The sequence below is a fragment of the Homo sapiens genome, chromosome 3 (genome assembly GCF_000001405.40).
Source record: "Homo sapiens chromosome 3, GRCh38.p14 Primary Assembly".
Lineage (NCBI taxonomy): Eukaryota > Metazoa > Chordata > Mammalia > Primates > Hominidae > Homo > Homo sapiens.
Genome location: NC_000003.12, coordinates 98,282,337 through 98,297,674, shown reverse-complemented (window position 1 = coordinate 98,297,674; position 15,338 = coordinate 98,282,337). Strand labels below are relative to the sequence as shown.

Here is a 15,338-nt window from a genome sequence, read left to right as displayed (position 1 = left end):
TGCTGAGCTGCCTGAAGCTGGGGTTTGGGTGCCATACACTACTGGGGCTGTGCTGGGTTAGAACTGAAGCCAGCACAGCACTGGGTCATACCCAAGGCCCATGGTAACCACTACCTGACTACTGCCTATGTTCACTCAAGGCCTTAGAGCTTTACAAAGAGCAGGTGGCAAAGCCCTCCAGTATTCTTTCCTTCCCTTCAGGGCAGTGAGTTTCCCTCATCCACAGGTGGATTCATAGATGCTATGTGGGAGCCAGAACCTAAAGTCAGAAACCGTAAGAATTTACCTGGTTCTCTGTTCTGTGGCTGAACTTGCACCCAAGCCACAAGACAAAGTCTTTATCACTATTCTCTTTCCTTTCTACAATTAGAGGTGTCTCTCCTCATGGCTACTACTGCCCCAGTCCCATGATGAGTACTGCCTGGCTACTGCTAATGTTCAATCCAAACGCAAAGGCTCATTAGTCAGCTTGTGGTGAATGCTGCCAAGTCTGGGACTCTCTTTCAGAGCAGTGGGTATCTCTCTGGCCGATAAAGGACCAGAAATGCCATCCAAGAGCCAAAGCCTAGACTCAGAGACCACAAGATCCTGTTTAGTACTCTATCCCACTGTGGCCAAACTGGTACCTAAGCTGCAAGACAAAGTCTCCTTTATTCTTCCGTTTTTTTTCCTCAAGCAGAACGAATGTTCCACTATAGCCACCACAGCTGTGAATGTAATGGGTCACATCTGAAACCAGCACATCTCTGAGTCTTACCCAAGGCCCATGGTGAGTACTGCCTGGGTACCACTGATGACTATTCAGGGCCCAAGAGCACTTTAAATAGCAAGGGATGAATCCTGCCAGGACTGGGCTCTTCCCTTCAAGGCAGCAGGTTCCTTTCTGGCCCAGGGTGTGTCTAGAAATGTCATCCAGGAACTTGGACCTGGAACTGGGGCCTCCTGGTGCCCTGTCCTACTCTGATTGAGCTGGTATCCAAATTGCAGATCAAAGTCCTCTTTACTTTTTCCTTTCTGCTCCTCAAGTGGAAGGAAGGAATGATTCCTGGATTTGCAGTCATTCCTGGATCTGCAAGAATGTACAACCTGGGGTTGGGGGAGGAGTGGCACAAACACTTGCTTGGTCACCGCAGCTGGTTTCTCACTAGGTTGCATGCCCCTCAGGTCCACTGGCTCTTAGCCTAACACAGCAGTAGGACTTGCCCAGGAATTATGGTCCTTGTGGCCTAGACTGCCTTTCAAGTTTATTTAAGGTGACAGAGCACTTTAGACTGTAGTGTCGAGGCTTGCCAGAACTCAGGTACCAACTGTTGGGATGAGCAATTCCGTGCTGGCTATGACTGGTCTAAATGTTTCCTCTGTGGGCACTGAGTTCTGCCTGGTGTTGCTTTCCCCTCTGACAGGCCAGCACAGAGTTCCAATGAAAAGTCCCACAATCAGTGTTCTCTCCCTCCCCTAAGCACATGTATCCTCTCTCCTTGCCATAGTGCTGCTGCCAGAGGATATGTGAGGGGTGACATCAGCAATTCAAAACTGTGTTTCCTACCCTCCTTAGCACATCTTTTAATGATATGAAGTTGTAACCAGATACTGTGATTACTCACCAGAATTTTGGTTCTTATGAAGGCTTTTTGTTTGTTTGTTTGTTTTCTTTTTTTTTTTTTTTTTTTTTTTTGAGATGGAGTCTCACTCTGTTGCCCAGGCTGGAATGCAGTGGTGCGATCTCGGCTCACTGCAAGCTCTACCTCCTGAGTTCACACCATTTTCCTTCCTCAGCCTCCTGAGTAACTGGGACTACAGCTGCCCGCCACCATGCCCGGCTAATTTTTTTTGTATTTTTAGTACAGATGGGATTTCACCGTGTTAGCCAGGATGGTCTCGATCTCCTGACCTCGTGATCTGCCCACCTCAGCCTCCCAAAGTGCTGGGATTACAGGTGTGAGCCACTGTTCCTGGCCTGAAGATGTCTTTTTAATGTAGATAGATGTTGAATTTGGTGTTCCTTTGGGGAGAATGATCATTGGAGGCTTCTATTCAGCCATCTTGCTTCACCTCCTCTGTAGGTTAAATGTTTTGAGAAAATTCTTCCAAAGCTTGATTCCAGCTACACATTTTTTTTGCCTTTAGTTTATTTTTATTTTTATTTTTAATTTTTTTATTTTTTATTATTATTATACTTGAAGTTTTAGGGTACATGTGCACAATGTGCAGGTTAGTTACACTTGTATACATGTGCCATGCTGGTGTGCTGCACCCATTAACTCATCATTTAGCATTAGGTATATCTCCTAATGCTATCCCTCACCCCTCCCTCAGCCCCAAAACAGTCCCCAGAGTGTGATGTTCCCCTTCCTGTGTCCATGTGTTCTCATTGTTCAAATCCCATCTATGAGTGAGAACATGTGGTATTTGGCTTTTTGTCCTTGCGATAGTTTACTGAGAATGATGATTTCCAGTTTCATCCATGTCCCTACAAAGGACATGAACTCATCATTTTTTATGGCTGCACAGTATTCTATGGTGTATATGTGCCACATTTGCTTAATCCAGTCTATCATTGTTGGACATTTGGGTTGGTTCCAAGTCTTTGCTATTGTGAATAGTGCCGCAATAAACATACGTGTGCATGTGTCTTTATAGCAGCATAATTTATAGTCCTTTGGGTATATACCCAGTAATGGGATGGCTGGGTCAAATGGTATTTCTAGTTCTAGATCCCTGAGGAATGACCACACTGACTTCCACAATGGTTGAACTAGTTTACAGTCCCACCAACAGTGTAAAAGTGTTCCTATTTCTCCACATCCTCTCCAGCACCTGTTGTTTCCTGACTTTTTAATGATTGCCATTCTAACTGGTGTGAGATAGTATCTCATTATGGTTTTGATTTGCATTTCTCTGATGGCCAGTGATGATGAGCATTTTTTCATGTGTCTTTTGGCTGCATAAATGTCTTCTTTTGAGAAGTGTCTGTTCATATCCTTTGCCCACTTTTTGATGGGGTTGTTTGTTTTTTTCTTGTAAATTTGTTTAAGTTCATTGTAGATTCTGGATATTAGCCCTTTGTCAGATGAGCAGGTTGTGAAAATTTTCTCCTATTTTGTAGGTTGCCTGTTCACTCTGATGGTAGTTTCTTTTGCTGTGCAGAAGCTCTTTAGTTTAATTAGATTCCATTTGTCAAGTTTGGCTTTTGTTGCCATTGCTGTTGGTGTTTTAGACATGAAGTCCTTGCCCAGCTACACATTTTTTTCGATAAACATAGGTCCCTCCTGTTACCCTTACTGAAATAAGACAATAGAGTTTTGATTGGATATCATCAGTCAATAGTAATTCCCACGAAAAAGTATTTTAAAAACACCACAATACTTCATCCTTTGCAACAGATGTCCTATTGAATTTTACATCTAACTGTCAAAATAGTGAGGAAAGGAAAAAGCGGAGGCTGGAAATTCCAAATTCCCAGGCTTATAGTAATGCTGTTCTAGTTTTTATTGCTGTTTGCATTTACCTAAATTCTAATTATATTGTTTCTTTGAGCACAGTAAAGGATAATTCGTCAGCAGTCTCATGAGCAGTAGAAGATAAGACAATAAGTAAACAAATATGTATAGAGAGACACAGAGAGACTATATATGTATATGTATATGTATATATATATATAGAGAGAGAGAGAGAGAGAGAGAGAGAGAGAAAGAGAAATCTATGAATACTTAAATGTCAAGATTAAGTAAAAAATACATCTTCATAATAAAGAGTATTTCTACTGCTATTGGTAGTTCCATAGGGTGCTTTCAACCCAACATGAGCAGTGTTATAGGCAACATATGAAATTTCAATATGATATTATTCTTTATGTCTAAATACTCATTAAATAATACATATATATTTCTATAATTTCTTTTTAAAAAATACAGAAGAATATCTTGTCCAAAATGGGGGGGTTTCCCAAGTGTATAATTTATCTATTTTCTAATATCCCACTAAATACAAAAATAATGTACTAAAAGGAATAAATCTATAACACAAGTGAGAATGAGATTATATCAATGGACAATCAATTTTGGTGAATTTCTTGAAGGCATAAAATAATTGGGATTATACTGAAGGAAATGCCAGAGCAGATACATTTTTTAACTAGAAATGTACAGGACAAGGCTGCAGGGAAATTCTGAGCTCTTCAGAGCTCCCAATTGCCTGTTCCATTTCCCCCGCCCCCAACCCCACCTAAAATAAGACTTGTGATGCTATATATCCTGCCCATGTACTCATAGTTTGTTTTCTACCTTTTCATTAAAAGAAAAGCCAACTGCGGAACTAGGCCTTTAAAATGGCAGAAGAGACACCAGGTGCTTGTATTAATATTATCAATCTTGTCTTTGGGTCATAACAGTGAACAAACAAGCAAAATATAGATAATTGACTGAAAACCATAAGTACATAAAGAATGTTATACAGCAATAAAAATCAATAAACTATAAACATATGCAATAACATGGATTCTCTGTGGAGTAATAATAAAAGCAGCTATACTGTAATCCATTAGCTCTGTTTCCTGCCACTTAGCAGGCACCTCTCTGGGGAACAAAAAGAGGGCAAATGATCTGGTCTAATTTTGTGAGCCTAGCTCTGCAAATATAAAATAATGAATTTTTTAAAACATTTATATGTTTTATATCCTTCAATTTTTAAGATTGAATAGCTTCTCCATGATATTCTTCATAGTCTATACAAAGAGTCAATCCTCGTGAAAAGGAAAGCAAGAATAATTCACTATATTCTACGCATTTGTACTGTTGGTTTCTATTTGATTTCACAAATATTTCACAAGCACTTATTTTGGGCTTCATGTATGTAAGCCATCGAGTCTCCCATAGCAAAAGAAAGAAAACATAGTAGGACTTCTGATTTGTAATGTAAAAGATCTTTAAGACAATAAATATAAAGCCAAATATAGCGTAAGAAGAATAAATAAGGAGGGGACCAGGATGGCAGATTAGAAGCAGCTACAGTGTGTTGCAGTCACAGAGAGGAATGAAAGGATCAAGAGAATATAGCACCTTCAACTGGAATATTCAGGTACTTGCACTGGAACTGATCAGGGAAACAACTCAACCCACAAAGAATAAAGAAAAGCTGGGCAGGGCAATGGCCTTCCCAAGAGTGATAGAGATATGTCGCCAAGGGAATACCCACCTCCCAACCAAGGGAAGCAGGGAGTGAATGTGCAACCCTGGGAAGTCACAGTGCAACCCTCAGATCAGAAGATCCCCTTGTGAGCCCACTCCACCAGGGTCTTGGGTCCGACACCCAGGGCTGTGTGGAGTCTCAGCAGAGCACCTGCTTAAGCACACACAGAGACCCAGGAGCTTTACATACAATGGCTCCGGGATTCCCTACTGCAACTCAGGCAAGGTGGGAGGTTCATACATATCCCTAGGAAGGGAGCTGAATCCAGGGGGCCAATCAGCGTCAGTATGTGGGCCCTACTTCCATGGCACCTCACAAGATAAGACTAGCTTGGAATTCCAGCCAGCCACTGGCAATAGGGTAGAGCCTGACTGAGACAGGACAGAGTCCCCAGAGGAAGGGAAGGGAAGGCCACCATCTTTGCTGTTTGGACAACTCAGCTACTCCAGCCCGCAGGCTTTGGAGAGTCCAAAGGGTCCAGACAAGGAAGAGACTTCCCAGCACAGCACAGCTTCTTTAACAAAACATGGCCAGACTACTTCTTTAAGTGGGACCCCGATCCATTACTCCTCACTAAGTGGAACCTCCCAGCCAGGGCCTCAAGCCATGCTGGCCCATATTCTTTGGACAGAGCTTTGATCTCTCCCTGGGACACACTTCCTAGGCAGAAGGGCAAGCTGCCACCTTTGTTGTTTGGACAACTCAGCCATTCCAGCCTGTGGACTTTGGAAAGTCCAAGCTGATCGAGGCAGAGGCAGTTCTCCAGCATGACACAGCTCTTATGTTGAGGTGTGGCAACGCTGCTTCTTTAAATGGGACCCTGATCCATTCCTCTTTGCTGGGCGGATCCTCCCAGCCAGGGCCTCCAGCCACCCCTACCCATGTTCTACGGCTGACAGAGTTCTAATTTCTCCCTGGGATGGATTGCCCAGGGGACAAGGCGAGCCAATGCCTTTGCTGTATGGGCTTTTCACCCAGTCCAGCTTGCGGGCCTTGGAGAGCCCAGAGTGATCAGGGGCTGAAGGGATCCCCAACACAGCACAGCTGCTCTGCCAAAACGCAGCTAGACTGCTTCTTTAAGCAAGTCCCTGATCCTGTTCCTCCTGACTGGGTGAGACCTCCTACAGTTGCGTTCAGGCTGGCGACAGGTGAGTATTCCCCTGGGACAGAGCTCCCAGAGGAAGGGGAAGGTTGCCATTTTTGCTATTTTGCAGCCTTCACTGGTGATACCTCCAGGTACTAGAAAAACTGCAGTGACTAGGGTCTGGAGTGGACCACCCAGCAAACTGCAGCAGCCCTACAGAAGAATGGCCAGACTGTTAAAAGAAAAACAAACAACAACAAAACACAAAAATCCCATCCAAAGGTCAGCAACCTCTAATATTGAAGTTAGATAAGCCTACAATGATAAGAAAGAATCAGCACAGAAACACTGAAAACTGAAAAAGCGAGAGAGCCTCATTTCCTCCAAATGACTCTAGCAAGGATTTGAAATGGGGCTGAAGCTGAGATGATGGAAATGACAGATGAAGACTTCAGAATGTAGATGAAAATGAACTTCCCTGAGCTAAAGGAGCACATTATAGCCCAATGCAAGAAAGCTAAGAATCATGATAAAATGATGCAGGTGGTGACAGGCAAAATAGCCAGTACAAAGAGAAATATAACTGACCTGATACAGCTGAAAAACACACTACAAGAACTTCACAATGCAATCACAAGTATCGATAGCAGAATAGACCAAGTGGAGAAAAAAATCTCAGAGCTCGAAGACTATCTTTCTGAAATAAAACAGGCAGACAGGAATAGAGAAAAAAGAATGAAAAGGAATAAACAAAACCTCAAAGAATTACGGGATGGGATTATGTAAGGGACTGAATCTACACCTGATTGAGGTACTCAAAAGAGACATGGAGAATGGAACCAACTCAGAAAACATATTTCAGCATATCATCCAGAAAAACTTCCCCAACCTGGCTAGACAGGTCAACATTCAAATTCAGGAAATGCAGAGAACCCTGGTAAGATACTACATGAGAAAATAATCCCTAAGACACATAATCATCAGATTCTCCAAAGTCAAAATGAAAGAAAAAGTGTTAAAGGCAGACAGAAAGAAAGGTTAGGTCACCTAAAAAGGAAAGCCCATCAGACTAACAGTGGATCTCTCAGTGGAAACCCTACAAGGCAGAAGAGATATGGGTCAATATTCAACATTCTTAAGGAAAAGAAATTCCAACCCACAATTTCATATCCAGCCAAACTAAGCTTAATCAGTGAAGAAGAAATAAGATCCTTTTCAAAGAAGAAAATGCTGAAGGAATTCATTTCCACCAGGCCTGCCTTACAAGAGCTCCTGAAGGAAGCACTAAATATGGAAAGAAAAAGCTGTCACCAGCCACTACAAAAAACACACTGAAGTACACAGAGCAGCGACACTATGAAGCAACCATATAAACAAGCCTGTAAAACACCAAGCTAGCATCATGATGACAGGATCAAATCCACACATAATAATACTAACCTTAAATGTAAAGGGAGTAAATGGCCCAATTAAAAGACACAGAATGGCAAGCTAGATAAAGAACCAAGATCCATTGGTATGTTGTCTTCAGGAGACCCATCTCACATGCAAAAATACACAGTCTTAAAATAAAGGGATGGAGGAAAATTTACCAAGCAAATGAAAAAGAACAAACAAGTGGTTCCAATCCTAGTTTCTGACAAAACAAACTTTAAACCAACAAAGATAAAAAAAAGATAAAGAAAGCCATACGTAATAGTAAAAGGTTCAATTCAACAAGAAGAGGTAACTATCTTAAATATATATGCACTCAATACAGGAGCACCCAGATTCATAAAGCAAGTTCTTAGAAACCTTCAAGGACACTTAGACTCCTACACAATAGTGGGAGACTTTAACACCCCACTGACAATATTAGACAGATCATTCTGACAGAAATTTAACAAAGATATTCAGGATCTGAACTCAGCTCTGGATCAAGTGGACCTAATAGATGTCTACAGAACTCTCCACCCCAAAACAACAGAATATACATTCTTCTTATTGCCACATGGCACTTCTTCTAAAATTGATCACACAATTGGAAGCAAAACACTCTTCAGCAAATGCAGAAGAACTGAAATCATAACAGTCTCTCAGATAATAGCACTATTAAATTAGAACTCAAGCTTAAGAAATTCACTCAAAATCATACAATTACAAGAAAATTGAACAACCTGCTCCTGAATCACCTTTGAGTAAATAATGAAATTAAGGCAGAAATCAAGAAGTTCTTTGAAACTAATGAGTACAAAGATACAATATATCAGAATCTCTGGGATGAAATTAAAGCAGTTTTAAGAGGAAAATTTATAGCACTAAATGCTTACATCAAAAAGCTAGAAAGATCTCAAGTTAACAACCTAACATCACAAGTAAAACAACTAGAGAACCAAGAGCAAATAAACCCCAAAGCTGGCAGAAGACAAGAAATAACCAAGACAAGAGCAGAACTGAAGGAGATAGAGACATGTAAAACCTTTCAAAAGATTAACAAACCAAGTGCTGATTTTTTTAAGAAAATTAATAAAATAGATAGACCATTAGCCAGACTAATAAAGAAAAGAGGGAAGACTCAAATAAACACAATCAGAAATGATAAGGGGGATATTACCACTGACCCCACAGAAGTACAAACAACCATCAGAGGATATTATGAACACCTCTGGACATAAATTAGAAAATATGGAAGAAATAGATATATTCCTGGGCATCTGCACACTTACAAGACTGAACCAGGAAGAAATTAAATCCATGAATAGACCAATAATGAGTTCTAAAATTGAGGCAGTAATAAATACCCTACCAACCAAAAAAATCCCAGAACCAGACAGATTCACAGCTTAATTGTACCAGACGGGTGGAAAAAAAAAAAAGGCTGTACCATTCCTACTGAAACTATTTTTTAAAAAAATTGTGAAGAAGGGCTGTGGTGGCTCACACCCGTAATCCCTGCACTTTGGGAGGCCAAGGCAGGCAGATCATGGGGTCAGGAGTTCATCACCAGCTTGGCCAACATGGTGAAACCCTGTATCTACTAAAAATACAAAGATTAGCTGGGCGTGGTGGTGGGTGCCTGTAATCCCACCTATTTGGGAGGCTGAGGCAGGAGAATCATTTGAACCCGGGAGGCAGAGGTTGCAGTGAGCCGAGGTTGTGCCATTGCACTGTATCCTGGGCGATAGGGCGAGACTCTATCTCAAAAAAAAAAAAAAAGAAGAAGAAGAAGAAGGGACTCTTCCCTAACTCATTCTATGAGGCCAGCATCATCCTGATACCAAAACCTGGCAGAGGTACAACAAAAAAAAGAAAACTTCAGGCCAATATCCTTGATGAACATCAATGCAAAAATCTCAACAAAATACTGGCAAACTGAATCCAGCAGCACATCTAAAAGTTTATTCACCACTATCAAGTAGGCTTCAACCCTGGGATGTAAGGTTGGCTAAACACAGGCAAATCAAAAAATGTGATTTATCACATAAACAGAACTGAAGACAAAAACTACATGATTATCTGAAAAGATGTAGAAAAGGCCTTCAATAAATTTCAACATCCATTCATGTTAAAAACTCTCAATAAGCTAAGTATTGAAGAATCAAGCCTTAAAATAATAAGAATCATATATGACAAACCCACAGTCAATATCATACTAAATGGATAAAACCTGGAAGCACTCCCCTTGAAAACTGGCACAAGACAAGGTTGGCCTCTCTCACCACTCCTATTCAACAAAATATTGAAAGTTCTTACCAGGGCAATCAATCAAGAGAAAGAAATAAAAGTATTCAAATAGGAAGAGAGGAAGTCAAACTATCTTTGTTTCCAGATGATAAGATCCTAGATCTGGAAAACTCATTGTCTCAGCCCAAAAGCTTCTTAAGCTGATAAGCAACTTCAAAAAATTCTCAGGATACAAAATCAATGTGCAACAATCACTAGCATTCCTATACACCAACAGACAAGCCCAGAGCCAAGTCGTGAATACACTTCCATTCAAAGTTACCACAAAAGAATAATATACCTAAGAATACAGCTAACCAGGGACATGAAAGATCTCTACAAGGAGAACTACAAAACACTTCTCAAAGAAATCAGAGATGACACAAACAAATGGAAAGACATTCCATGCTCATGGATAGGAAGAACCAATATCATTAAAATGGCCATACCGCTCAAACCAATTTATAGATTCAATGCTATTCCTATCATCAGATTCTTCAAAGAACTAGAAAAAACTATTTTAAATAATCGTATGGAACTAAAAAAGGGCCTGAATAGCCATGGCCATCCCAAGCAAAAAGAACAAAGCTGGAGCCATCATGCTACCCAACTTCAAACTATACTACTGGGCTACATTACCCAAAACAGCATGGTACTGATACAAGAACACACACATAGACCAATAGAACAGAATAGAGAACCTAGAAATAAGACCACACACCTACAACCATCTGGTCTTCCACAAACCTGACAAAAACAAGCAACAGGGAAAGGATTCTTTATTTAATAAGTGGTGTTAAGAGAACTAGCTAGCCATATGCAGAAAATTGAAAATGGACTCCTTCTTTACACCATATACAAAAATCAACTCAAGATGGATTAAAGTCTTAAATGTAGAACTCCAAACTATAAAAACCTTAGAAGAATACCTAGACAATACCCTTCACGACGTAGGCATGGGCAAAGATTTTATGATGAAGACACCAAAAGCAAAAAAGCAAAAATTGACAAATAAGATCTAATTGAACTAAAGAGCTTCTGCACAGCAGAAGAAACTATCAACACAGGGTAAAGAGACCACCTAAGAATGTGAGAAAATTTTTGCAATGTGTGCATCTGACAAAGGTCTAACATCCAACATCTATAAGGAACTTAAACATATTTACAAGAAAAAAACAAACAACCCCATTAAAAAGTGGACAAAGGACACGAGCAGACACTTCTCAAAAGAAGACACACATGCAGCCAACAAACATATGAAAAAAAACTCGACATCACTGATCATTAGAGAAATGCAAATCAAAACCACGATGAGATACCATCTTGCATCAGTCAGAATGGCTATTATTAAAAAGTCAACAAAAACACCAGATGCTGGTGAGGTTGTAGAGAAAAAGGAATGCTTATTCACTGTTGGTGTGAGTGTAAATTAGTTCAACTATTGTGGAAGACTGTGACAATTTCTTAGAGACGTAGAGGTAGAGATACCATTTGACCCAGCAATCCCATTACTGTGTATATACCCAAAGGAATGTAAATCCTTTTATTATAAAGACACATGCACACATATGTTCACTGCCACATTATTTACAGCAGCAAAGACATGGGATCAACCTAAATGCTCATCAATTATAGACTGGATAAAGAAAATATGGTATATATTTATCATGGAATGCTATATAAACATAAAAAGGAATGGAATCTTGTCATTTGCAGGGACATGGATGGAGCTGGAGGCTATTATTCTTAGCAAACTAGCACAGGACCAGAAAATCAAATATTGCATGTCCTCACTTATAAGTGGAAGCTGAATCATGAGAATACATGGACATATGGCAAGGAACAACACACACTGGGACCTGTTGAAGGGTGGTTGGTGGGAGGAGAGAGGGGGTCAGAAAGAATAGCTGACGGATGCTGGGCTTAATACCTGGGTGATAGGATGATCTGTACAGCAAACCACCATGGCACACATTTACCTATGTAACAAACCTGCACATCCTGCATCCCTGAACTTAAAAGTTGAATTTTTTTTAAAAGAAGCATAAATAAAGTGCTAATTGTTTTAAATGAGTGAACACCCCCATCCACTTCCAGGTAGGCAGAAAAAGCTTTGTGGATGAAAGCTTTATAAAATGGTAACATTTCATACACACCTTGAAGAAAGTTATCATTTCAATTGCAAGTGACTTAGAGGTGAGTTGCAGTAGTAGGGATTCTCTGTGGAGAGAGCTATATGAACGAAAACATGCACCTGACAGAGTAAGGAGTGTACAGAAGTCTCCTGGTAACTCACTTTGGCTGCAACACAGGTTCCATCAAGATAATTGTGGAGGAAGAGTCTCCAGAGTTAAACCAAGAAGTTTTTTTGCAAAAGATCTCAAATAATTCAGGGTGAATAAATACTAGCTGAGGCATATATATGCATATTATACAATCTGTACAGACATATAAACAAACATATCCATATGTATATATTCATATATAGATATATGTACCACATATGCATATAATCTGCTAGCAATGACAATCCATTAAAAGGTAATTAAGTAGGACATGAATTAATTAAACTTAAATGCACAAATTATATGGCAGCATTGTTTAGGAAATAAGAGACTATAAAAGGATAAGGGAGATACTAACTAGAGTCTTGCAAAACAGACAGGTGAGTTGTTTCAGGTTGGGGACCTGGGTGATATAAATGGGAATGTGATGAAATGATATACATAGGAATATAGATGAAATTTTAGTGTTGAAAGAGGAAGAGTAGGGGTGACCTGAAGATGGATTACTCATAATACAGCAAGAGGATGTAGTGTGAGGAAAGCTAAAATGTAAGGACTTTTGAGTCACAAAACATCCATACTCTTGCTTATTTTCACACCTTTCGCAGCCACCCACTGGACACGATGAGATCATATCATTTTAGCATTATTTGATCTTTGGCAATATGCATTTAAGGCCACTTTTTATCCATAACAAATGCTAATAATTATGGAAATATTACTGATTTCCTTTTCTTATTGTTTTCATTTTTTTAATGCTAGAAAAATTGATACCATTTACTTTCTATTCTGGCATTTTTCTTCTCTACATCCATGCTAACTTAATTTTTAAATTATCTATTAGCTTTCTGAATTCGTTAGCAATATGAATCTTTTCATGTTTTCCAGTGTCATACAAATACAACTGTAAAAGGCCTCTGAAGGCATCGTCAATAAAGAGAGGCAAGTTGCCTTTTCTTATTACTCATAGAAAGGAATAGAGATAAAAGTACCCTCTTAGAGTTTGGCCTTGCATTGACGGTTTTAACTCACTTCTCATTTTATGATTGCATTTCCCATTCTATTTATTGCTTCAAGTGATATATGAGTTAAATTCTTATAAGAAGTGAAGTTTGCCAATTCCATAATCTAGAGTAAAAGACCTTTTGAGGGACAGCTGATTCCTGAGATCTTTATCGGCTCAACCAAACACAAATCTGCCACCACAATCCAGTTAAATGTGATGTTTCCACACTATACAATTCTGTCAGCTGTATTATATTTCCTACTCAAATACTTTTGAGAGGAACTACAGTGCTTTAACACTTAAGGCATTTATAAAGCCACATGAAGAGTATTTAACCTATAAATGTTTTCATTTGTTTTCTGCTTTAATTATCTAATATAACATGAACACCAGGTTAAAATTCCTTGGATGCTTTTGAATAACATATATAAATATTTTAAGGAGTTTATTAGGTATAAAACCCTAAGTCATTAAAATGCTAAAACAATTATATTTACAATAACTTTGAACACTTAGCAAAACACCTTATCTAACTGCAAAATTCTTTTTACTGAAAATGAGAGATATCACTATGAAATCTAAACATTTCTTTTTACCATTTTTGTGAATGAATCTATTACTTGTTTATTTCTCAGACTGTAGATAATGGGATTTAGCAAAGGAATTATGATTGTATAAAAGACAGAGTCTATCATATCTTGGTCATCTGCTTGTGGAGATGCAGGGCGCAAATACATGAAGATAAGTGGGCCATAATATAAAGAGACAGATAAGAGATGGGCTCCACAGGTGGAAAAGGCTTTCCTTACGCCTCTAACAGACTTCTTTTTTAGGATTGTGAAAAGAGCAAATGTGTAAGAATTAAGAACTGTCACAATGGTGAATACCTGAATTGAGCCAGACAAAATAAAAACCATTAGAAAATTAATAGAAGGGTCAGTACAGGAAATCATAAACAGTGGTATAATATCACAGTAAAAATGATGTATTATGTTAGAATTGCAGAAGGTTAATCTGAATATAAGGACTTCATGAATTAAGGCATGGAGGAAGCCACCTAAAAATGAGAAGGCTAACAGCCGTATGCATAGTGAATTGTTCATAATCACTGGATATAGTAAAGGTTTGCATATGGCTACATAGCGATCATATGCCATTGTTGCCAAGAGAAAACATTCTGTAGTTCCACCAAATGCAAAGGAAAAAAATTGAATCATGCATTCAGACAGAGATATCATCCTGTTTTTGGCCAAGAAATTAACCAACATTTTGGGAGTTACTGTGGAAGATATCCAAGCATCAACAAAGGCTAAACTCCCAAGAAAAAAGTACATGGGGATGTGAAGTTGTGGGTCATTCCAGATAAGAGCAATCAGACCAAGGTTCCACACAATAGTGATGAGATAGATCACCAAGAACACCAAGAACAGGGGCATTTTCCACTCTGGCTGATATGTAAGTCCTGTGAGAACAAACTCTGTCAGCAATGTTGTATTATCCTGTTCCATGTCCTCATTCGACATCCCTGAAATGAAATGCAGTAAATGTAAAAGAGCATTCACTAAGACTTATACAGCAAATACTGGGGGAGGGAAGTTGATAGAAAAACATACTCTTATTACAATACCCTTTTAATTTTCTTTCATATTCCTGTAATAGATGGAAACTGTTTTGGGAAATATAAGAAATCAAAATAAATGCAATTATTTTAATTCTAAAAATGTGATCAAATAATCTACTTTTAAAATGCAGATGATAGAAATGCATGTAATGTGTGTTAACTTAAGAAAATCACTATTTGTAAATTTAGAAAAGGAGAGAAGACTTATTTCTTATAAGGGGTTACAGCCTGCAAGGTGGCCATCAAGTGTGCTGGGAAGCATGCCTCTGGCCAAGACCAGAAACAGGCACATCAAAGGAGGAGGGCTTGAGGTAGGAGCTTTAGGCTAAATAAGTTGGCTAAATATACATATTCAACAGGTTACGGGAGGATCTATGAGTATTCATGAAGGTAGCCTTGGCACATGCATATTGAACATGTATGTAACATACAACCCATGTTCACATTGGAGTG

The 15,338-nt window shown here is 39.2% G+C and overlaps 1 protein-coding gene and 1 long non-coding RNA gene across 4 annotated transcripts in view, besides 1 other annotated feature; one reads left to right on the top strand and one right to left on the bottom strand.

Moving 5' to 3' along the window:
- LOC105373999 (uncharacterized) overlaps positions 1-15,338 on the top strand; it is a 51,966-nt gene that overhangs the window by 17,008 nt on the left and 19,620 nt on the right. For 2 of the 3 annotated variants that reach the window (XR_001740814.2, XR_924259.2), the window contains exon 1: positions 700-769. The exons of the other annotated variant lie outside the window; for it this stretch is intronic. This is a non-coding gene — a long non-coding RNA (uncharacterized LOC105373999). Of the gene's footprint in view, positions 1-699; positions 770-15,338 lie in introns of those variants that run through there. 3 annotated transcript variants of the gene reach the window in all.
- Positions 5,527-6,028: an enhancer, noted in NCBI's record as "H3K27ac hESC enhancer chr3:98010491-98010992 (GRCh37/hg19 assembly coordinates)". NCBI's record gives its function as "activates a minimal SCP1, AML or CMV promoter by ChIP-STARR-seq in primed H9 embryonic stem cells {active_cell/tissue: H9 hESC(primed)}" and the evidence as "EXISTENCE:reporter gene assay evidence [ECO:0000049][PMID:30033119]".
- OR5H2 (olfactory receptor family 5 subfamily H member 2) lies at positions 13,605-15,170 on the bottom strand. Its single transcript, NM_001005482.2, has one exon. It carries the CDS (start codon positions 14,770-14,772, stop codon positions 13,843-13,845), a length of 930 nt encoding a protein of 309 aa, NP_001005482.2. The 5' UTR covers positions 14,773-15,170; the 3' UTR covers positions 13,605-13,842.